Raw genomic sequence first — 25,891 nt, 5'->3', positions numbered from 1 at the left:
ATTAATACAAAGAATCCTGACTACATTGTTAAATATGTGCATTTTATGAAATGATTTTTGAAGTGACAGGATAGGGAGACCCAAACCCCACAACTTTTTCTCTACTCCCATCACACCAGCCATTGTACTATTAGTAGGTGACATCTGAATGAAGGCAAACTGCTTTCCCTGCATGCAGTATGGTTCCCTCCTGTTTTCCAAAAAACCACAAACATGGTTTTTCTAAAATGCAATCCTGACTGTAATTCTCTACTGCTTAAAATCTCTCAGCTCACCACAACCTCCGCCTCCTGGGCTCAAGCGATCCTCCCACCTCAACCTCCTGAGTAGCTGGGAGTACAGATGCACGCCACCACACCTGGCTAATTTTTTTGTATTTTTCAAGGGTAGAGATGGGGTTTTGCCATGTTGCCCAGGCTGGTCTCAAACTCCTGGGCTCAAGTGATCCACCCACCTAGGCCTCCCAAAGTGCTGGGATTATAGGTGTAAGACACTATGCCGGGCTTCTACTGCTTAAAATCTTTTATTATTTTATTTATTTATTTATTTTTTTGAGACAGTCTCGCTCTGTCGCCAGGCTGGAGTGCAGTGGCACAATCTCGGCTCACTGCAACCTCCGCCCCTCTGCCTCCTGGGTCCGAGCAATTCTCCTGCCTCAGTCTCCTGAGTAGCTGGGACTACAGGCACACACCACCATGCCCAGCTAATTTTTGTATTTTTAGTAGAGACAGAGTTTCACCATGTTGGCCAGGATGATCTCAATTTCTTGACCTCATGATCCACCCGCCTCAGCCTCCCAAAGAGCTGGAATACAGGTGTGAGCCACTGCGCCTGGCCTGCTTAAAATCTTAAAACTTTCATTTTGTAACCAACAATGTCAGTAACTGATTAAGGCAGGAATCATCAGTGGATATTAAAACTACAGGGTAACAGCTTGCTGCGTTGGTCTCATTTGACAAGTTACTAATACAGAATGGAAAAGATGCCATTATAATGAAGAAATCTGGTAGGTACCATTCTAGCCAAGTGATCAGTCAGCATCACCAATAATGGGACAAACTGACATTATGTGTCTCCCGATGTGATATAAAAGGAAGAACACATTATTACCTATATAGTAATCTTGCCCTAAAATATGTAAGTTGAATCTAGTAATGAGGAAGCAATTAAAAAAAAGAAATCCAGACTGTAGGCCAGCCTAGACTGGTCTAAACTTCTCTTGCTTTTTCTCTTTTGTGAACAAAAAGACAAGAAAAATACTCTAGATTAAAGGAAAATAAGGAGAAAGGATAATCAAATGCAATGTGAGAGCCCTGATTGGATCTTGAATTTAAGAAAAATAAAAAAAAAGCTGGCCAGGCGTGGTGGCTCACACCTGTAATCCCAGCACTTTGGGAGGCTGAGGTGGGCAGATCATTTGAGGCCAGGAGCTCAAGACCAGCCTGGCCAACATAGTGAAACCCCATCTCTACTAAAAATATTATACGAAAAAATTAGTCAGGTGTGGTGGGACACACCTTTAATCCCAGCTACTTGGGAGGCTGAGGCACAAGAATCACTTGAGCCTGGGAGGCAGAGGTTGCAGTGAGCTGAGATCGTGCCACTGCACTCCAGCCTGGGTGACAGAGTAAGACTCTGTCTCAAAAAGAAAAAAAGCTATAATGGACATGATTGGGACAACTAGGGAAACTGGAATGAAACTGTATATTACATATTGTTGAGACAATGTTAAATAGTGTAGTAATACTGAGTGTGACAACAGTACTGTCCTTTCTCTGTAAGAGAACTTCCTTGTCCTTATTAGATACAAGATGAGGTATTTATGGACTCAACCTACTTTCAAATGATTCAGTTTTTTGGTTTTTTTTTTTTTTTTTTTTTTTTTTTTGAGACAGAGTCTTGTTCTGTCGCCCAGGCTGGAGTACAATGGCACGATCTTTGGCCACTGCAACCTCTGTCTCCTGGGTTCAAGCAATTCTCACACCTCAGCCTCCCAAGTAGCTGGGATTACAGGTGCATGCCACCACGACTGGCTAATTTTTGTATTTTTGTAGTGATGGGGTTTCACCTTGTTTGCCAGGCTGTTCTTGAACTCCTGACCTCAGGTGATCTGCCCACCTCGGCCTCCCAAAGTACTGGGATTACAGGCGTGAGCTACCCCACCCAGCCAAGTATTTATCTATACAGATGGAGAGCAAGACAGAGTAAAAAAACAAATGAGGCAAAATATTGACAATTAATGAATCAAAGTGAAGTGTATGGGATAATTCTTTGTAAGATTTTTGTAACTTCTAAGTTTAAAATTTTTCAAAATAAAAAGTAAAAATTAAAAAGTCAGGGTGGGGTAAGGAATCTCGTAACTTTAAATGTAACCAAACTCCTTAGCAAGTCATAAAAATCCTTTTATGATCTGTCTGCAGGCTATCTTTCTAAGTTCATCTCTAATCACTTTCTTCATTAATATTCCACTCATACTGCTTACATGCTGTTTCATACTGGTTTGTTCTTGGAAACAGGGTCTCACTCTGTCTCCCAGGCTGGAGTGCATGGCGACCACAGCTCACTGCAGCCTCTACCTCCCAGGCTGAAACGATCCTCCCACTTCAGCCTCCTGAGTAGCTGGGACTACAGGCAAATGCCACCATGCCTGGCTTTTTTTTTTTTTAATGGCATTAAAAGTGTGAGCCACTGCAACCGGTCCACACCTGTTCTTTACACACACGTTCCTCTCCCTTTAACTGGATAATGTATACATGTTCTTCAAGTCCAAGGCTTCTCTCACTTGGGGAACTTTTTATGGAACTGTTCATGTATTGGTTACATGACTGCATAGTTATAAAAACCTGAAGAACTGTACACTAAAAAGGGTGAAGTTAGCCAGGCACAGTGGCTCATGCCTGTAATCCCAACACTTTTGGAGGCCAACGCAGGTGGATCACTTGAAGCCAGGCGTTCAAGACCAGCCTGGCCAATATGGCGAATCCCGTCTCTACTAAAAATACAAAACCTAGCTGGCTGTGGTGACACATGCCTGTAGTCCCAGCTACTTGGCAGGCTGAGGCAGGAGAATCTGTTGAATCTGGGTGGCAGAGGTTGCAGTGAGCTGAGATCATACCACTGCACTCTTGCCTGGGCAACAGAACAAGACTGTCTCCAAAAAAAAAAGAAGAAATAAAGAAAAATGAAGATAAAAGAGGTGAAGTTTATTGTATGTAAATTATACCTTTTTTTTTTTAAATGGAGGAAAACACCTTGCTATCCCTTATTATACTGTACATTCTTTTACCTCTGGCACAGGAAGTGTAAGCACACTGTCTCCTTTAGAGTCCTTTATCTGGGGCTCTTCAACAGAATTTTCACCAAGACCCCTATCCAAACCAAGTGTGCAGGGCCCTGTCTCAGAGGAAGCAACTGGAGCAACTGACAACATGTGAACCTCCTGAGAGCTCTCTTCTTGATTTTCGTTTCTGAAAGAGAGTTTAGCATGCATGTCATTTGAAATCAGGCAAATCATGGAATTATTTTTAGAGCTAGGTGTGTAAAAGATCATCTAATTCAATGGTTTTCAAACTTTTAAAACATATTTAATGCAATAGGACTTTTTTTTTTTTTTTTTTTTTTTTTTTGAGACAGAGTCTCACTCTGTCGCCCAGGCTGGAGTGCAGTGGCGCGATCTTGGCTCACTGCAAGCTCCGTCTCCCAGGTTCACACGATTCTCCTGCCTCGGCCTCCCAAGTAGCTACAACTACAGACGCCCGCCACCACGCCCGGCTAATTTTTTGTATTTTTTAGTAGAGACGGGGTTTCACCGTGTTAGCCAGGATGGTCTCGATCTCCTGACCTCGTGATCCTCCCGTCTTGGCCTCCCAAAGTGCCGGGATTACAGGCGTGAGCCACCGTGCCCGGCCAGAACTTCTTTTTCAAATTCTTACAGCCACAACTTAAGGCTATAGCTGAAACAATATAAACTGAATCTCAGAACCTCTTCACTCTTTTACCTTTCAGTTAGGTTTACTTCTGAAGAAATACTGGTCCCTTTGATACCATGTACACATGCCAATTTGCTCTGATCCTTATTCTCTGCTGTTGTAACTGGTCCGAGGTTTTTATTTTCCAATTCTGTTGCTTTGGAAGCATTTTTCTCTGTTTCTTAAACAAAAAGCACACTTACGATATAGACCAAAATAATACAGCTAAAATCCCTGTATTAGAAACATATGCCCTCTTAAAAGGAAGATTCCTATATAGTGACTCTTCCAAACTTCTCTTATTCCACAAATCAGGCTTATACACATGGCAGAAAGTCCTAGCTAATAGATTTTTGAACAGTAAAACACATGATTAATAAATCCTGTTCTACAAAAATTTCACTCATGGCTGCCATGATAATTGTATCCTCATTTTATGGTACTAGCATCAATAATTAGAAACTCAACATATAAAAGAGACTTCGAGGTGGGTACACCGAGGTTGGGCTAGTTCCACTTTAGAGGAAGTCTTGGAAAAGGAGCTGCACTGCAAAGAATAATATCACAAACGGGGAAAAAAAGACTTCTATATAGAAGAGGTAATTTGAGACTGCACGTTGAGAGAGGTTTTAGAAAAGGTGACCTCTCATGGTTCTCATGTATTTTTCATCATGTTTAGTGCAATATTGTGAATAACCCCATGGGACCCATACAAAGTATCATTAATGATGTTGGAAGCACTCCCAAGAAGCAGAGAGAGTCATAACATTGTAAGAAAAAGCTGAATTGCTTGATATGTATTACAGGTTGACACCTGTAGTTGGGGTTGCCCACCATTTCAGACAGATGTTTCATCTTGTAAACAGATGACATAAACTTTTGGTACTAATAAATACAATGCAGTACTGAAAATGTATTTTCTCTTCCTTATAATTTTCTTCCTTTTATTTTTCTTTGAGACAGGGTCTTGCTCTGTCACCCAGGCTAGAGTGCAGTGGCAATATCACAATTTACGACAGCCTTGATCTGGCGAGCTCAAACCTCTGAGTAGCTGGGACCACAGGTGTGTGCCACCACGTCTGGCTAACTGTTAAAAATTATTTTGTAGAGACAAGGTCTCCCTATATTGCCCAAGCTGGTCTCAAAACTCCTGGGCTCACGTGATCTTCCTGCCTCTGCCTCCCAAAGGGCTAGGATTTCAGGTGTGCACCACCACCGTGCCCAGCCTGATTTTCTTTTTTCTTTTTTCTTTTTTTGAGATGAAGTCTCACTCTGCTGCCCAGGCCGGAGTACAGTGGCATGATCACAGTTCACTGCGACCTCAACCTCCCCAGGCTCAGGTGATACTCCCACCTCAGCCTCCTGAGTAGCTAGGACTACAGACATGCACCACCATGCCTGGCTAATTTTTGTACTTTTGTAGAGATGGGATTTTGCCTTGTGGCCCAGCCCAGTCTGGTTTCATCAAATGAGCCACCCACCTTGGCTTCCCAAAGTGCTGGGATTACAGGCATGAGCCACTGTGCCCAGCCCCAGTCTGACTTTCTTAGTAACATTTTCATTTCTCTATGGCTCATAACATTTTCATTTCTCTATGGCTCATAACATTTTCACTTCTCTACGGCTCAAGGACATGAGTTGAAAAAACAGAAAAAACAATTTTTTTTTAATTTTCTCCAGCCCATTTTATCATAAGAATACAGTATATAACACAAATAAAATACAAAATATGTGTTAATTAACTATCTTATCAATAAGGCTTCTGATCAACAGTAAGCCATTAGTAGGTAAGTTTTTGGGGAGTCAAAAGTTATACATGAATATATATATATATATGTTTTCAATTCATAAGAGACAGGGTGTCACTATTGTCCAGGCTGGCCTCGAACTCTTGGGCTCAAGCCTCCCAAAGTGCTGGAATTACAGGTGTGAGTCACTGCACCCAGCCTATACACAAATTTCTGACTGAATGGGGAGGTCAGTGCCCCTAGTTCAAGGGTCAACTATGAGAGAGAGAGAATGAGAGAAAGAGAGAGACAGAGAGAGAATAAAAGGACAAAAAATTGATCAAACAAATGTAGCAAAATGGTATTAATTACTAAAACCAATTGGTAGATTTATGGGTATTTATTTTATAGCTCGTCTTACTTTTTAATTTGAAACTATTTTATTGTAAGTTAAAACAATTTAATGACCAAATATTTCTTTGAAATGTTAATGTAATTTCTTGTGTCAAAATGATTTTGCAACATATTAAGAGAATAAAATTTACCTCTTTGAGTTTCCATTTCTGCCCCTTTGGTTACACACAAACTGGAAACTTCCTGATAATCATCAAGCCTGTTGGTCCCTAAAGTCTTCTCAAGATTTGGTTTAGGCTTAGCAAGCCTACTTCTTATTCTCAAATTACTGGTCACTTTAGAAATTGTATTCCTAAAAACAGAAGATAGAGAAATTCATGAATCATGTTAGATCTTGCTCTCTCACATTAATACAGTCTGTCTAGCACTGATAGAGTGAATGACCTGTTAGGTGCCACACTGTCTACAAGTGTTCATTTCTTAATACTAAAATTACAAAGTAGTAACTTTACTAGAGGTCTTAAGAAGAGAATTTAGTCTGTATTTGTAAAACAGAGACATTTACATAAATCTATTTCATTAAAGCTTCAAAGATACACAACATTTACTACTATAATTTAAACATGCAAACCACTAACCTAAAATCAAAATCAGTCTATCTTTAAAGGGTAAGAAATTAGCATTGCCTACTTTACATTTAAAGCATTACTCAAAGCTATTAACTAATTTGATGGTGGTTTTAGTAATATTTATTAATTGAATACTAAAATAAACCTGGTTGGTGTAGCATTCTCCTTTACTTTCTCCATTAAACTTATTTCTTCTCTGGAACTTTGTTCCTCCAATACAATCTTGTTTTCTTCAAATGATGCAGGAGATGTAGTAATGACAGGTGAAGAAAGTTCCTGACATTCATGAACAATTTTGTGATTTACATTATCTAGGCTAGAAGGAATATGGCTTTTATCCTTTGAATGAACATGAGGAATTATACATACTCCTACTGAAGAAAAAAAAAAAAAACAAAATTAAAATGGACCAAATTATAGATGCTCAAAATAAATTCCTCAACATTTAGTAATTGTAAAATTCTGTATTATTAAAGTTTGCTTCATTTGTGTGGCAGCAATAGAAAAAGATTTTAGAAATAAATAAATTTTGCCCTTGTTGGCTGTAAATTTATGATCTCCCTATTTCATGCCAGGGATTTGACCTGTTGTGAGCTTAATAATCCTTACAGACTGGAATTTTATCCGATTATTAGTAAAAATGAGTTCTTTTGTTACTTTCAGTAATTATATAATCTCAGATGGATTTCAAGACAGCACTGTCAGCATTTAAGATTTTTAAAACCTTTATGTTCTATATGTACTTTATGTTCTATATGTTTTTGACAGGCTGTACTGCAATACTCTGCCACTAAGAAAGGAGCCCTATACAGAACACAAATCAGAGACTTTCCTGATAAATACATGGTTCCAAGCCTAAAAGTCTAATATGTCTTTATTTATCTATTTTTGAGACAGTGTCTCACTTTGTCACCCAGGCTGGAGTGCAGTGGTGCGATCTCAGCTCACTGCAGCCTTGACCTCCTGAGCTCAAGCGATCCTCCCACCTCAGCTTCCCAAGCAGCTAGGACTACAAGTGTACACCACCATGCCTGCCTAATTTTTTGTATTTTTTGTAGAGACGGGGTTCCACCATGTTGCCCAGGCTGGTCTTGAACTCCTGAAGTCAAGCATTCACCAGCCTCAGCCTCCCAAAGTGCTGGTATTATTGGCATGAGCTGCTGCATCTGGCCCAAAAGTCTAATACTTAAAATGAATGGAAGCTGGGTGCGGTGGCTCATGCCTGTAATCCCAGCACTTTGGGAGGCCAAGACGGGTGGATCACCTGAGGTCAGCAGTTCGAGACCAGCCTGGCCAAGATGGTGAAACCCCAACTCTACTAAAAATACAAAAATTAGCTGGGCATGGTGGCATGCGATTGTAATCCCAACTACTTGAGAGGCTAAGGCAGGAGAATTGCTTGAGCCTGGGAGGCAGAGGTTGCAGTGAGCCAAGATCGCACCATTGCACTCCAGCCTGGGTGACAAGAGCGAAACTCTGCTTCAAATAAATAAATAAGATGAATGGTAGGCTACTCATAACCAAACTCCGTCTCAAATAAATAAATAAGTAAATAAAATGAATGGTAACCAGGCAAAATAATTACCAGGAATAGTATAATTATTCATTTCATGCAATTAAAAGATATTGAGATAGTAAAGATTTATCACTTGTCTGTGATTTCCATCTAATAAGTTAAAAATCTTGGTTGATATATCTTTTGGCTCTGTCCAAACTGAGAACAGTTTAAACTAAATTATTTCAATGAGTGCTATTGTCTCTTTGTGCTCTATTTGTCATCTAATTGTGAATACCATCCCAAGCAGCAACTCCTTTGCAAAAGACACATGTATAAACTATATCAGTGATCAATGAGCTCAGTTAACCAATGACATTTATGATGGTAAAGGTAGTATTCACTACCTTTACCATGCATACAACTATTCCATGCATACAACTATTCCATGAATACAAATTATTCTTAATAAACCAAGAGCATGATCTTGAATTAGCTGTCACTACACCTAAACAGTAGTAAAATAGTGGATGGATCAATACATACATATCATATTTTATGGAAGAACAACAAAATGGAGACAACTTCAAAGGTAAAAGGGTTATTACTCAAATGTGGGTATAATTTCTTAAGTTAGGTTTTAAAAGTTTCTATTTTTGATAGGACTTAGCTTTCATTCTTACCATCACCCTGTTCACTACTGATCTCTGACTGCAATACTAGATCTCCCATTGTAAGTAAAGTTATTGCAGCTTCGGTGCTTCCATCATTGGTACCTTGTGAGGAAATATATCAACATTAAAAAAAAGAATGAATCCGGAAATCTGTTCACTTAAAAAAGATTTTTAATTAAGGTGTTTATCTCCTAGGAGCAGATTCCAATATCCTCTGAGCCATTAATCCCTTACTAAGGTAGTCTTTTGTTCAGGTTATATGCTACAAATAAATAAATCATCACTGTTGGTTTTGACTCACTGACCATGCCTCCCTCCCATTAAATAATATCTTCAAGGAAAATGCTCTCCCATTTGTGAAGATCCAGAGGAAATGCTCAAATACTTCTTAAACATTTTTTTAATTCACCTTCTAAAATAACATTCCAAGAATCCACATTTCTCACAGAGACAACACATTCAATAGCTGAATCTTTTTGTTAAACTCTCCAGCAAACTGATTCATTTATTATCCCCACTATTAAATCACTGTACTAGTGTTAATCAAGGTAGTCTTAGCAGTTTCCTTGATAACAGTTACCTGGTTCATCTTGGATATGTTCACTTGTGGTCATTTCCTAAAAAGGAAAAAAATAAGTAACATCTTAAAATACTTCCCCAAACATGTTCTGTTTCTCAGCATGCACTACATTTTCAGAGGTCTTTCCATACTTTTAGCTACAATAGTGTAAACTGGTTTGTCTTAATTTATAATTATTCACAAAATTTCACCAGCAAGAACATAAACAATTTAAAGGCAAAATTCTTGTGTCTCTTGCTCCTGACTTTATCTTTTTCTTGTATTATGTGCAAATTTTAACTCTTATCATTTTGTTATGTACGTCTACCATTCTTACTTTACTTCTTCATTTTCATAATCCTTCAACTCTAGTCATATCTGCTGCCAATTTTTACCCAATGGAAACCAAGGCCTAAAGGGTATTGCAAAATTTTTATACTACTACGTAGCTTAAAACTTAAATGCATTTTAATAAATTAAGAAGTTACAGAACCAATGTCCAGAGCGACAGCTTGAGAAGCTTCACTGACCCACTCCTCAGTGAAACTGATTTTAAAAACAAAACATTTAAAAGCCTCTGAAACTGATCCTAACGACAAAAAGCAAATGAAGAAATATCTGTTCAAGAAAATCTGAAAATTTGCTAACAAAGGTGAGAGTCTATGTGAACTAACACTGCTCTTTCTCTCTCCTTCCTCCCAGCTCAGCATGGCAGAGACTCCACCTCAAACTGCTGCACCCAAAAATACAAGGCCCCCAGTCCCCAAGGTCCCACCTGGAGAGCATTTTTCCCTAGGGGAGTAGGACTTCATCTCCTGACATCACAAGAAAAGTACAGACCAATATCTATTATGAATATGGACATAAAAATCACCAATAAAATACTAGCAAGCTGAATCCAACAATGAATAAAAATTAGACATTATGATCCTAGAATTTATCCTGGGGAAGCAAGGTTGGTTTAACGTCCAAAAAATACAATGAAAAACAAAATTCACATGATCATCTCCATAAATGCAGAAAAAGCATATGACAAATTCCAACACCCTTTAATGAAAGAAACATTCAACAAACTAGGAATAGAAAGTAACTTCTTTAGCCTGGTAAAGGACGTTTATGAAAAATCCATGGTAACATCATACTTAATGATAAGACAGGATGGGAGGAGTGGTAGCAGCCAGGCAGCCCAGCTTTGAGAAGGCTCTCAGCATGGTGCGGCTCACAGGCACCCAGCATGCACACTCCTGACCACAAGATGCCCAAGAGGAAGATCAGCTCAGCAGAAGGGCGGTGAAGGAAAGAGCCCAAGATGAGATTAGTATGACTGTCAGCTAAACCTGCTCCTGCAAAAGTGGAAACAAAGCCAAAAAAGGCAGCAGGAAAGGATAAATCTCCAGACAAAAAAAGTGCAAACAAGAGAAAAACGGGGAACAAAGGGAAAACAAACCAAAGTGGCTAACCAAGAAATCAGATTTACCTACAGAAAACAGAGAAACAAAAACCAAGGAAAGTCCAGCCTCTGATGAAGCCCAGAGAGAAAAAAAGCCAAGTCTGATTAATATCATATACTATGTCTTACCAATAGTACCTGTCTCCCTTCTTGTACATTCCAGAGGAATATTTTTCTCAACTATTTCACAAATGCAAGTTTTTTAGTAACTCTAGAAACATTTTTAAGAAGAAGGAAATCCCACCTCATCCCATTTTTTAAGTGTACATGCTTTTAAGGGTAAAAATCATTTTCCAGTTGTTTATTTTTTGGTACAACCAGAAAACAGTGTGCGATATTGAATTATGGGAGGCTTTGACTGTCTTGGGTATCATCTTAACATTCCACTATATTAACTGGCAATATGGAGTCACAGTCCTGTATCTGATGTCTTGAAATTTTTAAGTTACTTTTATTCCCATGGTTTGGTTCTGGTTCTTTTTTTTTTTTTTTTTTTTTTTGGTTTTTTGGTTTTTTGGCTTTGAGACAGAGTCTTGCTCTGTTGCCTAGGCTGGAGTGCAATGGTGCAATCTCCACTCACTGCAGTCTTCGCCTCCTGGGTTCAAGCAATTCTCCTGCCTTAGCCTCCCAAGTAACTGGGATTACAGACATGTGCCACCATGCCCGGCTGATTTTTTGTATTTTTAGTAGAGACGGGGTTTCACCATGTTGGCCAGGCTGGTCTCAAACTCCTGACCTTGTGATCTGCCTGCCTCGGCCTCCCAAAGTGCTGGGATTATAGGCGTGAGCCAACGCGCTCGACCTGGTTCAGGTTTGTTTGAGACAGAGTCTTGCTCTGATGCCCAGACTGGGGTGCAGTGACGGCGATGACAGCTTACTGCAACCTCAACCTCCTGGGCCCAGGCGATCCTCCTGCCTCAGCCTCCACAGTAGCTGGGACCACAGGCGCATGCCACCATGACTGGCCAACTTTTAAAAAACATATTTGTAGAGACAGAGTCTCCCTCTGTTGCCCAGGCTGGCCTTGAACTACCATGTGATCCTCCCACCTCCCAAATTACTGAGATTATAGGCATGAGCCACCGCGCCTGGGCCCATGTTGTTTTTTAGCAGAATTGCTTCCTAAAGAAAACCACTCCTTGATCATGGCTCTCCCTGTCAGAATTGTATGCACTCTATAAATCTTTGGTTGTGGTAGTCCTGTTTTCCTAATAATTTTGTTAATGTGCTGTGAAAGACTGAAAATTTGAGTATGCAGTATATATGCTATTTAACTGCAAATTGTGGAAGTATGTAACAGTTTATCAACATGTAAGGATACTGGTACTTGATAGCCTTTTAATGAAAACTTGCCTCCAAATTTTAAGCTGGAAAGTCACCAGAGTAACTTAAAAATAATTACAATACATGGCTTTTTAGATTTTCGGTATAAATGTGAAGAATTGTGTACTGATCCTCAACACAACCAATAAAATCTCAATTATGAAAAAAATAAATGATGAAAGACTGGATACTTTACCCCTAAGATCAGGAATAAGACCAAAATGCCCACTCTCGCTTCTATTAAACTTTGAACTATAGGTTCTAGCCAGGGCAGTTAGGCAAGAAAAAGAAATAAAAGGCATTCAGGTCAGAAAGTATCAAAGGTTGAATTGTGTCCCCTAGAAAGATATGTCAAAGTCTTAAACCCAAATAATGTGAATATGACATTATTTAAAAATAGGGTATTTGTAGATATAATCAAATTTAGATGAGGTCATATTGGATTAGAGTTGGTGCTAATCCAATATGACTGGTGTCCTTTCCTTATAAGATGAGAGGTTACACATACACAAGGGGAAAATGCCATGTGGTAATGGAGGCAGAGGGTGGAAGTATGCTGCTGCATGCTGAGAAATGGTAAGGACTGCCGGCTACCACCAGAAGGCAGGAGAAAGGCATGGGATGGTTCTTCCTCAGAGCCTCCAGAAGGAACCAACATTGGTGACACCTTGATTTTAGACTTCTAGACTCTAAAGCTGTGAGAGAATAAATTTGTTTTGTTTTGTTTTTCTCATCTCCATAAGTGCCTGGAGAATTCTCTGTGGTTATAAGCTATCAAGTTTGTGGTGCAAAGAGTACCCGACTTAAAATTTTTTTATTTTAGGCCGGGCACGGTGGCTCACACCTGTAATCCCAGCATTTTGGGAGGCCAAGGTGGGCAGATCACCTGAGGTCAGAAGTTCGAGACCAGCCTGACCAACATGGTGAAACCCCATCTCTACTAAAAATACAAAAATTAGTTGGATGTGGTGGCGGGCGCTTGTAATCCCAGCTACTCTGGAGGCTGAGGCAGGAGAATCACTTGAAACTGGGAGGCGGAGGGTGCAGTGAGCCTCCAAGATTGCGCCATTGCACTCCAGCCTGGGCAACAGAGTGAGACTCTGTCTTTAAAAAAAAAAAAAAAATTGTTATTTTATGATGGGTTTATCAGGACATAATCTCCTCATAAGTCGAGGAGCATCTGTACTTTGTTACAGTGATCCTAGGAAACTAATACAGAAAGAAGTAAAACTATCTTTATTTGCAGATGACATGATTTGACAAATAGAAAATCCTAAGGAATCCACCAAAGAAGTTGCAGGATATAAAGCTAATATACAAAAATCATTTTTATTTCTACACACTTGCAACGAACAATCCAAAAATGAAATTAAGAAAACAATCCCAGGCCGGGCACGGTGGCTCATGCCTGTAATCCCAGCACTGTGGGAGGCAGAGGCGGGTGGATCACCTGAGATCAGGAGTTCGAGACCAGCCTGACCAACATGGAGAAACCCCGTGTCTACGAAAAATACAAAATTAGCAGGGCGTGGTGGCATATGCCTGTAATCCCAGCTACTCGGGAAGCTGAGACAGGAGAATTGCTTGAACCAGGGAGACAGAGGTTGTGGTGAGCCAAGATCGCGCCATTGCACTCCAGCCTGGGCAACAAGAGGAAAACTCCGTCTCAAAATGTGGTGGGCGCCTGTAGTCCCAGCTACTTGGGAAGCTGAGGCAGGAGAATGGTGTGAACCCAGGAGGCGGAGCTTGCAGTGAGCTGAGATCATGCCACTGCACTCCATCCTGGGCGACAGACGAGACTCCATCTCAACAACAACAACAAAAAAAAAACTTACTACAAAGTAACAGTAATCAATATAGCATCACCAGCATGAGAACAGACATATAGATCTATGCAACAGAATTGAGAATTCAGAAATAAACCCATACATCTATGGTCAGCTGATTTTTGATAAGGGTGCCAAGACTATTCAATGGGGAAAGAATAGTCTTTTCGAATAAATGGTGATAGGACAAATGGATAGCAACATGCAAAAGACATAAGTTGGATAATGAGGTTATCCATGTATAAAAATAAACTCAAAATGGATCAAAGACTTAAACGTAAAAGCAAAAATCATCTTTTAGAAGAAAAATGGGTAAATCTTCATGACCTTGGGTTTGACAAAGGACTCAGATCTGACAACAGAAGCATGAGCAACAAATGAAAAAACAGATTAACTGAACTTCATCAAAATTTAAAACTTTTTGCTTTAAAGGAAATCAAGAAAGTGAAAAGACAACCCCACAGAAAGGGAGGAAATATTTGCAAATCATATACCTGCTAAGCAACTTTTATCTAGATTATATAAAGACTCCTTACAACTCAATAATAAAAAGACAAATAGCACAATAAAAGAAAAACAGACAAAAGATTTGAATAGACATTTCTCAAAGATGATATACAAATGGCCAATAGGAACATAAAATGTGCCTGACATCATTAGTCACCAAGGAAATACAAATCAAAACCACAATGTGACACCACTTCACACTCACTAGGACAGCTAGATCCAAAAAGTCAAGCCAGACACAGTGGCTCATGCCTGTAATCCCAACACTTTGGAAGGCTGAGGTAAAAGTATCACTTGAGGACAGGAGTACGAGACCAGCCTGAACAACACAGCAAGACCCCACCTCTACAAAAAAAAAAAATTAGCTGGGCATGGTGGCACACACCTGCAGTCCCAGCTACTTGGGATGCTGAGTGGAGAGGATCATTTACACTCAGGAGGTCAAAGCTGTAGTGTGCTACAATTGTGTTACTGCACTCTAGTTTGGGTGACAATGCAAGGCCGTCTCAAAAAAAAAAAAAAAAATCCACCGAACAAAAAAAAAAGTGAAATAACAAGTGCCGGCAAGGACATGGAAGAACAGGAACCCTCATAAACTGCTGGTGGGAATGTAAAAGGGTATAGCTACTTTGGAAAACAGTTTGGCAGTTCCTCAACTGATGAAACATAGAGTTACCATATGACTCAGCAATTACATTTTTAGAAATGTACCCAAGAGAAATAAAAACATATTGTACACAAACACTTCTACATGAATGTTTACAGCAGCATTATGTATAACACACAAAAAATGAAAATAATCCAAATGTTCATGAATGGATGAATGGATATACAAAATGTACCATATCCATATGGAATATTATTAGGCTACAAAAAGTAAGGAAGTACCACTACATGCTGCAACATAGATGAACAGTAAAAAATGTTACATTAAGTGAAAAAAGCCAGACACAAATGATCAGATTTTATAATTTCATGTCTAGGAAACATCTAGAACAGGCAAATCTATAAAGACAGAAGGCAAATTATTGGTTCCCCAGGCCAGTGAGGGTTGGGAGGAAAGGAGTAGTGACTGCTAATAAGGTTTCTTTTTGAGGTGATGAAAATGTCCTAAAATTGACTGTGATAATGTTTGCACGATACTAGAAGTCACTTAATTGTGCACTTTAAATAATGAGAAAATCATATGGTGTGTAAATTATATGTCAATAAAGCTGTTTTTAAAAAGTTACAATTTCAAGCCTCCGCTTGCAAAGGCAAATAAATACCAATAATGGAAGAGTGCAAATAAAACGCAACAGAATATATTTTAACTTGTTTATACTTAGTATAAATTTAATGCAACTGAATTTTAATGTAAAAGTCTATGAGGATATTAAGAGCTCTGCCCACAAACAAACAAAATCATTGCTTTCACTAGTTTTTACTACTCAGACTAACAGCTCCTTACAAAGAGAAATTAGCTAAGTAAAGTGTTTATAAACCTAAAGCTATCAAAAGGAACCTCCAGTCTTTTCAAAGTAAACAAAGAATAAAAGGCCAAAACATATTAAAATGGATGCTTACAAACGGTACACTCAAATTTTCTTCTTGTTTCATTTCTTCAGTAGTCACATCTGTGTTTGGTAGCTCATGTTCAACAACAGCTATGCATCCTACATCTGGGACATTCACAGTTATTTCAAGCTGTCAAAATAAAGTTTTATCATTTCATTTTGGCATATTATAAACAGCAAAACAAAGCCTCATCTTCAACATGAATAAGTAAGATGAAACGCTAAAATGAAGAAATAATCCACATTCATACATAACTTAAAAAATGGAATGGAGTAATTCTTTTATTGACTGACAGCAACTTGGCAAAAGTAAAACATTTAAAATTTTTGAGGTGGCTGTGACTATTAAAACCAGTAAGCAAATTTTCTAAGACTCATCTTCTTAGTGCCTGGCATTTCATTTTCCATTTTCTTCACTTTGTCCTCACTTTCCCCCTAATTTCTCTGTTCAGTCTGTTAACATTTATAGAAGGCTAGGTGTACAGGGATATAAAGTCAAATAAGATAAGTGTAGTCCCTATCCTCAATGAATTCACAATCTAACAGAAAAGCAGACATGTAATCAACTAATTATATACGGTCATAAATGCTATCTATAATGAGTTGAAAGCCCTTAGAAGTATTTATCGGGCCAGGCGCAGTGGCTCACGCCTGTAATCCCAGCACTTTGGGAGGCCGAGGCAGGTGGATCACCTGAGGTCAGGAGTTCAAGACCAGCCTGGCCAACACAGCGAAGCCCCATCTCTACTAAAAATACAAAAATTAGCCGGGCATGGTGGTGCCTGCCTGTAGTCCCAGCTACTGGGGAGGCTGAGGCAGGAGAATCGCTTGAACCCAGGAGGTGGAGGTTGCATTGAGCCGAGATTATGCCACTGCACTCTAGCTTGGGCAACAGAGTGACAAGTTGTTCTCAAAAATAAATAAATAAATAAATAAAATATTTATCATACCACTGCCCCCACACCAACTCCCTTCTCCCAAAACCCCAAAGCCTGCACGATTCTTGATACCCAGGGCAACAGCCATGTAAAATAAGAAGTTCACTCATATTTACTCTTCATTTGTGAGTCCTATTACTTAAAGAGCCGTGTAATCTGAGCACTAAAAAGGTATTTACCTACTAGAATACATACAATATAGTCTGGTTCTTATTATCTTATTTTTTTGTTTTTCTTTTGTTATTCTGAGGCAGGGTCTCACTCATGTCACCCCAGCTGCGGTGGTGCGATGATGGCCACAACACCTGGGCCTATTCTCTTATTAACAGAAAAAAACAGTATAAAACGTTGTATGGCTGAGTAGAAACTGTGAGTAAAGAGTCAAGTCTGAGAATCTGCCTTCAAGACATACGTTATTTTTTTTTTGAGACAAAGCCTCACTCTATCGCCCAAGCTGCGGTGCAGTGGCACTATCAGGGTTCACTACAGCCTCAACCTCTCAGGCTCAAGCAATCCTCCCGCCTCAGCCCTCCAAGTAGCTGGGACTACAGGCATGTGCCACCATGCCTAATTTTTGTATTTTTTGTAAAGATGAGGTTTCGCCATGTTGCCTAGTCTGGTCTCGAACTCCTGCACTCAAGCGATCTGCCCACCTTGGCTTCCCAAAGTGCTGGGACTATGGGCATGAGACCCTGTGCCCAGCCAACATATTTGTTATAATTACATTTGTATGTACCACATCTGTTTCCTCAGATACAAAATTTAGAGAAAAATCTTTGGTAATATCTGACAGGACTGGGATGAACCAAAAAATTCAAGTGAGCACGGGGGCACATGCCTGTAGTTCTAGCTACTCGGAGGCTGAGGTGTGAGGGTCGCTTGAGCCTAGGAGTTTGAGGCCAGCCTGGACAACACAGCAAGATCTTGTCTCCAAAAAAATGAATTTAAAAACAATAGGCCAGGCACGGTAGCTCATGCCTGTAATCCCAGCACTTTGGGAGGCTGAGGTTGGCAGATTGTTTGAGCTCAGGAGTTTGAGACCAGCCTGGACAACATGGTAAAACCCCATCTCTATTGAAAATAAAATAAAAAAAAAATTAGCCGGGTGTGGTGGTTGTGCACCTGTAGTCCCAGCTACTCAGGAGGCTGAGGTGGGAGGATTGCTTGAGCCTGGGAGGCGGGGGTTGCAGCAAGCTGAAATCATGCCACTGCACTCCAGCCTGGGCAATGGAGTAAGACCCTATCTCAAAAAAATAAAAATAAAGAAAAGAAAAATAAATAAATGTAACAAAAAAAAATTTTAAAGTTCAGATGATTTGAGAAGAAAAAATACTTCTTGAAGAGTTGGGACTGGATGGGAAAAGGGAATATTCTATAAAGTAAAAGTTGGTTTTTTAAGCATCATACAGTTTATTTTAAAAAAGACTTGCAATTCACATAACATACAGTTAACCCACTTAAGGTGTACAATTCAATGTATTTTGGGATATTCACAGATATGTGCAATCATCACCACATTCAAATGTGGAACATTTTTGTCACTTCAAAAATAAACCTTATACCCATTAGCTATCTCTCCCTTAACCCCTCTCTTCCCCATCTGCCAAAACCTAGGCAACCATTAATCTACTTTCTGTCTCTGTGGACTTCCTTATTTTGGACATTTCATATGAATGGAATCACACAGTATGCGATACTTTGTAACTAGCTTCTTTCACTTGGCCTAAGGTTTCCAAAATTCATCCATGTTGTGACACATATCAACACTTTATATCCCTTTAGGGCTGAAAAACATTCCATTGTGCTTCAAAGCTTTTGTCTCCTCCTGTTGTCCAGGCTACAATGCAGTGGCATGATTGTAGCTTACTGTAACCTCAAACTCCTGGGTTCAAGCAACCCTCCCCACTCAGCCTTCTGAGTAGCTGGGATTATAGATACGCACCAACACACCTTGCTAATTTATTGACTGAATGTAGAGACAGGGTCTTGCTATGTTGTATAGGCTGGTCTTGAACTCCTGCCCTCAACTGATCCTCCGCCTCAACCTCCCAAAGCACTGGGATTACAGACATGAGCCACCATGCCTGGCCTTTCAATGCTTTTGTTTTTTGAGACAGAGCTTCGCTCTTTCGCCCAGGCTGGAGTGCAGTGGTGTGATCTTGGCTCACCACAACCATTGCCTTCTGGTTTCAAGCGATTATCCTGCCTCAGCCTCCCAAGTAGCTGGGATTACAGGCGCCCACCACCACGCCCAGCAAATTTTTGTATTTTTAGTAGAGATGGGGTTTCACCATGTTGGCCAGGCTGGTCTCGAACTCCTGACCTCGTGATTCGCCCACCTCAACCTCCCAAAGTGCTAGGATTACAGGTGTGAGCCACCGTGCCTGGCCTCAATGCTTTTTAAAGAACATTTTTTCTAACATATATATGAATTTCCCTGTTTAGTAGGCTGGCCATAAGGAATAGAATCTAAGGAAAGCCTTGTCAATTACTATGATTAATGCTATTAAAAAAGATAGCCTGTATTAATTCAGGGATACAGTCTGGAATCTAATTTTCAGAAATTAATTACTGATAGTTTCACTAGCAATTTGCCTTCACTTAAAGAAAAATACAAAATATATAGCTAAATGAACTCTCATGCAGCATTAACCAGATATCTTTCCACAAAATTACTCTTCCTTCTGCATTTTCTTGGTTTCACATAATGCTTACATTTACTATCTTTACTTTGAATTGTAAGAAACAACCTCATTTTGCATCATTTAAATTAGCTTCAACCATTTTATTAGTTCATTTACTCTAAAACATTTACCAGGTTATTATTAACACTGAATAAAAGTAGATTTTGACTTCCCTTCATAAATGTGACTTTACAGATTCAGATAATCCGTTAATTCTTAATGGAATTACATTAACATGTAAAGTTTACCTTAATTATCTTAAACATTACTTGAATTGTTTACTGTTTCTTACTGCTTCTTTTATTGTTGCCACTATCTTAGTTAACTCTGATTCATTTCAAATTACTCAGAAACTATCATGAATGCTTACACAAAACTGACTCAGATATGCTCCTCAGTAAGCCAAAGAAGTGACTGAAAATTAAGGCAGAACAGAAAACTTTGAAGTTACAAAGTTGGAATGGCAGACTAACAGGCAAAAGTGTAAGGAAGCTAAATATGTTCAACACGTTTCTCTAGTTCACAACCCTTAGGATGATTACTAGCCAAAGTTACAACATAGCTACGACTGGTGAGGATGTAGCGAAACTGCAATGCTTGTACACTGTTGATAGGGATGTAAAATGATAACAGCCCTATGAAAAACAGTATAAAGGTTGCTTGAAAAGTTAAGTATAGAATTAACATAAGATCGAGGCCGGGTGCAGTGGCTCACACCTGTAATCCCAGCACTTTGGGAGGCCCAGGCAGATGGATCATTTGAGGTCAGGAGTTTGAGACCAGCCTGGCCAACATGGTGAAACCCCACCTCTACTAAAAATACAAAAAAATTAGCTGGGTGTGGTGGCAGGTGCCTGTAATCCCAGCTTCTTGGGAGGCTGAGGCAGAAGAATTGCTTGAACCTGGGAGATGGAGGTTACAGTGAGCCAAGATTGCGCCACTGTACTCTACTCCAGCCTAGGCAACAGAGACTCCATCTCAAAAAAAAAAAAAAAGAATTAAAAGAATTACCATACGATCCAGCAATTCCACTTCTGGGTATATCCCGCAAAAAGTAAAAGCAGAGATTCAAAGAGGTATTTATACAACTATGTTCATACCAGCATTATTTCTAACAGCCAAAAGGTGGAAGCAACCCAAGTGTCCATTGATGATAAAGGAATAAACAAAACATGATACACACACACAATGGAATATTATTGAACCTCGAAAATGAAGAACACTCTGACATAAGCTACAACATAGATGAACTGTGAAAACATTATGCTAAATGAAATAAAATGGTCACACAAAAAAATACTGTATGATTCCACTTACATGAGGAGTCAAATTAAAGAGACAAGATGTAGAAAAGTGGTTGCCAAAAGGTTAGGGGGTGGGAGGAATGGAGAGTTACTGTTTAATGGGTATAGAATTTCAGTTTTAACAAAATAAAAAGAGTTCGCCAGGGGTGCAAGGCAGACCTGAGAGTGACCAGGCCAGACGGCATAGAGATGGGGCTCAAGGGACAGGTGTTGGGTGTTTGTATCTTGTATCTTGGTTTTTTGCCAGGCTAGGGGACAACCACTCATTGCGGGATGTCTTAATCATCTTAAAAAAGAACGCAGTAGCTCGTGCCTGTAATCCCCGCACTTTGGGAGGCCGAGGCAGGAGGATTGCCTGAGCTCAGGAGTTTGAGACCAGACTGTGCAACATAGCGAAACCCCATCTCTAAATTAATTAATTTTAAAAAAGAGTTCTGTGGATGGATGGTAGTGATGGTAGCATGACAACACGTACATGTGAATGTTCTTAATGCCACTGAAGTGTACACTTAAAAATGAGTAAGATGGCTGGGCATGGTGGCTCACGCCTGTAATCCCAGCACTTTGGGAGGCCGAGGCAGGTGGATTGCTTGAGGTCAAGAGTTCAAAACCACCCTGGCCAACATGGTAAAACCCTGCCTCTACCAAAAATACAAAAATTAATCAGGCTTGGTGGTGCACACCTGTAGTCCCAGCTACAGGAGGCTGAGGCAGGATAATCACTTAAACCTGGGAGGTGGAGGTTGCAATGAGCCAAGATCCCACCACTGCACTCCAGACTGGGTGACAGACTGAGACCCCGTCTTTAAAAAAAAAAAAAAAAAAACAGAGAGAGAGATAGTAAATTTTATGTTACATGTATTTTAGCACTCTTCTTTTTTTTTTTTTTTTTTTTTGAGATAGAGTCTCGCTCTGTCTCCCAGGCTGGAGTGCAGTGGCACGATCTCAGCTCACTGCAACCTCCGCTTCCCGGGTTCAAGCAATTCTCCTGTCTCAGCTTCCCCAGTAGCTGGGACTACAGGCACCTGACACCACGCCCAGCTAATTTTTGTATTTTAGTAGAGACAGGGTTTCACCTTGTTGGTCAGGCTAGTCTCAAACTCCTGACCTCAGATGATCCACCCACCTCGGCCTCCCAAAGTGCTGGGATTATAGGCGTGAGCCACCATGCCTGGTCCAAATCAAAAAAAAAAAAGTATGTCCCTTCTAGCTTCTCTATCAACCAGAAAACACCAAAATGTTTGAAAGATTAATCAGAGGTTGGCTGGGCTGGTCTCCAGCTCCTAACCGCGAGTGATCCGCCAGCCTCGGCCTCCCGAGGTGCCGGGATGGCAGACGGAGTTGCGTTCACTCAGTGCTCAATGGTGCCCAGGCTGGAGTGCAGTGGCGTGATCTCGGCTCGCTACAACCCCCACCTCCCAGCTGCCTGCCTTGGCCCCCCAAAGTGCCGAGATTGCAGCCTCTGCCCGGCCGCCACCCCGTCTGGGAAGTGAGGAGCGTCTCTGCCTGGCCGCCCATCGTCTGGGATGTGAGGAGCCTCTCAGCCTGGCTGCCCAGTCTGGAAAGTGAGGAGTGTCTCTGCCCGGCCGCCCCGTCTGAGAAGTGAGGAGACCCTCTGCCTGGCAACCGCCCCATCTGAGAAGTGAGCAGCCCCTCCGCCCGGCAGCCACACCGTCTGAGAAGTGAGGAGCCCCTCCGCCCAGCAGCCACCCCGTCTGGGAAGTGAGGAGCGTCTCTGCCCAACAGCCACCCCGTCCGGGAGGGAGGTGGGGGTCAGCCCCCCGCCTGGCCAGCCGCCCCGTCCGGAAGGGAGGTGGGGGGTCAGCCCCCCGCCCGGCCAGCCACCCCGTCCGGAAGGGAGGTGGGGGGGTCAGCCCCCCGCCCGGCCAGCCGCCCCGTCCGGGAAGGAGGTTGGGGGGTCAGCCCCCCGCCCGGCCAGCCGCCCCATCCGGGAGGGAGGTGGGGAGGTCAGCCCCCCGCCCGGCCAGCCGCCCCGTCCGGGAGGGAGGTAGGGGTGTCAGCCCCCCGCCCGGCCAGCCGCCCCGTCCGGGAGGGAGGTGGGGGGTGTCAGCCCCCCGCCCGGCCAGCCGCCCCGTCCGGGAGGGAGGTGGGGGGGTCAGCCCCCCGCCCGGCCAGCCGCCCCATCCGGGAGGTGAGGGGTGCCTCTGCCCGGCCGCCCCTACTGGGAAGTGAGGAGCCCCTCTGCCCGGCCAGCCGCCCCGTCCGGGAGGGAGGTGGGGGGGGTCAGCCCCCCGCCTGGCCAGCCACCCCATCCGGGAGGTGAGGGGCGCCTCTGCCCGGCCGCCCCTGCTGGGAAGTGAGTAGCCCCTCTGCCCGGCCACCACCCCGTCTGCGAGGTGTACTCAACAGCTCATTGAGAACAGGCCATGATGACAATGGCGGTTTTGTGGAATAGAAAGGGGGGAACAGTGGGGAAAAGATTGAGAAATCGGATGGTTGCCGTGTCTGTGTAGAAAGAGGTAGACATGGGAGACTTTTCATTTTGTTCTGTACTAAGAAAAATTCTTCTGCCTTGGGATCCTGTTGATCTGTGACCTTACCCCCAACCCTGTGCTCTCTGAAACATGTGCTGTGTCCACTCAGGGTTGAATGGATTAAGGGTGGTGCAAGATGTGCTTTGTTAAACAGATGCTTGAAGGCAGCATGCTCGTTAAGAGTCATCGCCACTCCCTAATCTCAAGTACCCAGGGACACAAACACTGCGGAAGGCCGCAGGGTCCTCTGCCTAGGAAAACCAGAGACCTTTGTTCACTTGTTTATCTGCTGACCTTCCCTCCACTATTGTCCTATGACCCTGCCAAATCCCCCTCTGCGAGAAACACCCAAGAATGATCAATAAAAAAAAATAAATAAAAAATAAATAAATAAAAAATAAAAAATAAAAAAAAAGAAAGATTATCAGAAAGTAGACTAAACAGCTTCCAGGTACAAGTGTAAGCAGATTTCTCTCGTTGTTACACTGACTCCCTTGCTGGGCCTGGGCCATAGGGACTGAGCAATCACAAAAGGTTATACAAGGCCCCAAATTATATTTGGTAGAGGTTATTTAGAGAATGAACTCTTCAAATCCTAATAATCACTACGAGAAGAAATAATGATCCCCTAAAAGAAACAAGAGGTGAAAACCAAGTAAGATAAAGTACCAAGGTTTTAAAAAAAAACCGAACCTCTTCCATTGTTTCCTCAATCTGAGCAGAAACAGGTTCAGGAGATCTGAGACCAACAGGTACAAATACTGGAGCTTTGTTTACTTCTTCGGGAGCAAGATGATAGCTTTCTTCCTCATAGTCAGACTCAAAATCGTCAGCATCATCATCTTCTTCCTGGGAAGCCCGAAGAGTCACCAGCATGGCCTTGGAAGCTCTAGGTTCCTTCTTAGAGGTCTTACCCCGAACTCGTTTTGATCCACGACCTCTGGTGACATTTGGTTTGAACTTTTTATGACTTCTCCTTTCACCACGATTTCTCTCATACTCAGATGTAGAAGAGATAGTTGTTTTCCCATCCAGGGCAATTTTAGAGTAACTTGTTTCGTTTAACGGTTGTGGACAGCTAGATATTTAATCAAAACAACAATAAGGTCATATGCATGCAAGGATAATTTTAATGAAAACCAAACTTTTAGAGTGAAATTCCAGTTCCAGTCATTAAAATGAAAATTCCCACCACCCATTCTTTTAAAATCTTATGCTGTGAAAATAAAAAAGGAATTAACTACTAGTTTCTCACTCAGAGTTAATTCTTAGTTATCTACCTACAAATTTTTCATAGTAAGTTTTTAATTCTGGACCATTCTTTCCTGTAATATGAAAGTGAAGATAAAATAAACACAAAACTGAAAATTATTAGAAGAAAAAGGGATAAAAGACACAGAACCGGCTGGGCGCAGTAGCTCACGCCTCTACTCCCAGCACTTTGGGAGGACGAGGCAGGCAGATCACTTGAGGTCAGGAGTTCAAGACCAGCCTGGCCAACATGGTGAAACCTGATCTCCACTAAAAATACAAAAATTAGCTGGGCACGGTGGTGCACGCCTGTAATCCCAGCTACTCGGGAGGATGAGGCAGGAGAATCACTTGTACCTGGGAGGTGGAGGTTGCAGTGAGCCGAGTCACGCAATTGTACTCCAGCCTGCGCGAGAAGAGTGAAACTGTCTCAAAAACAAAAAAAGACACAGGACCAATAAATACAGAATATGAGATCAAATGTGGTATTAGTTTATCCTACTGGGTAAACAGATAGGTTAAAAGAAAAAGGAGGCAGCAGAAATCCACTAGAGCAGTGCTGGTTTCTAGAACTTAAGTTTCTTTCCATTTTCTTTGAAAACTATAGAAGTAGGGTATTCTTTATTTGTGTTTGTGACTCCATTTGAATGAGCACCTTAATTACTTAGCTAATACATACATACTCCTCTTTGGTCAAGTTTCTACCCATGTCTAATGGACTCAACACCCAAAAATTTTGTTCTACCAGTAAGTTAAGGTAAAAGTTAAGTGATTTTTATTTCTTATTGTGAAACATTTTGTTAAATAAAATGTTACCTTGTTAGTTTATTGAGATATTGCTCTTCAACAACTGAAGATGGTGAATTATCTCCTACAGTTTCCTCTCCAACCCTTCTTGATGGTCCAACTTCTTCTAATTCCGCATCTATTTTTGCCAAAGCAGACTCTTTGGAACCTACACAATCTTTTCTTGCTGAAACCTCCAGAGATGTCAGAAGCTCAGCTTTTTCCTTAAATTTAAGAAGAAATTAGCTAGTATTACTACAGAAACAATCTCTATGTTAATTTGGTTTGGTAGTTTGGCCTAAACCTCTAAGTTTACACATATCTACAAGCAGTTGGTTGCTCATCTTTTACAACACTAGAAAGTC

At 41.2% G+C, this 25,891-nt stretch overlaps 1 protein-coding gene and 1 pseudogene across 9 annotated transcripts in view, besides 1 other annotated feature; one reads left to right on the top strand and one right to left on the bottom strand.

Annotated features, from left to right (window-relative positions):
- The window catches only part of BDP1 (BDP1 general transcription factor IIIB subunit), a 122,638-nt gene that overhangs the window by 29,783 nt on the left and 66,964 nt on the right, over positions 1 to 25,891 (bottom strand). For 6 of the 9 annotated variants that reach the window (XM_017009630.2, XM_047417372.1, XM_017009631.2 and 3 more), the window contains exons 24-32: positions 25,557 to 25,750; positions 24,183 to 24,567; positions 16,079 to 16,198; positions 9,428 to 9,464; positions 8,857 to 8,949; positions 6,824 to 7,052; positions 6,241 to 6,401; positions 3,999 to 4,149; positions 3,287 to 3,467 (exon numbers count right to left, since the gene is read on the bottom strand). In XM_017009630.2, the coding sequence (XP_016865119.1) occupies positions 3,287 to 3,467; positions 3,999 to 4,149; positions 6,241 to 6,401; positions 6,824 to 7,052; positions 8,857 to 8,949; positions 9,428 to 9,464; positions 16,079 to 16,198; positions 24,183 to 24,567; positions 25,557 to 25,750 (1,551 nt within the window). The remainder of the gene's footprint in view (positions 1 to 3,286; positions 3,468 to 3,998; positions 4,150 to 6,240; positions 6,402 to 6,823; positions 7,053 to 8,856; positions 8,950 to 9,427; positions 9,465 to 16,078; positions 16,199 to 24,182; positions 24,568 to 25,556; positions 25,751 to 25,891) is intronic. The other 3 variants (XM_011543512.3, XM_047417375.1, XM_011543511.4) reach the window with 2 other exon arrangements.
- Positions 10,660 to 10,854, top strand: HMGN1P12 (high mobility group nucleosome binding domain 1 pseudogene 12; annotated as a pseudogene).
- Positions 16,437 to 16,637: a silencer, noted in NCBI's record as "peak5278 fragment used in MPRA reporter construct". NCBI's record gives its function as "represses an SCP1 promoter by STARR-seq MPRAs in K562 erythroleukemia cells {active_cell/tissue: K562}" and the evidence as "EXISTENCE:reporter gene assay evidence [ECO:0000049][PMID:32103011]".

The sequence above is a fragment of the Homo sapiens genome, chromosome 5, assembly GCF_000001405.40.
Source record: "Homo sapiens chromosome 5, GRCh38.p14 Primary Assembly".
NCBI lineage: Eukaryota > Metazoa > Chordata > Mammalia > Primates > Hominidae > Homo > Homo sapiens.
Note: the sequence above shows the minus strand (reverse complement) of the source record. Positions and strands in the feature narration are given on the sequence as shown.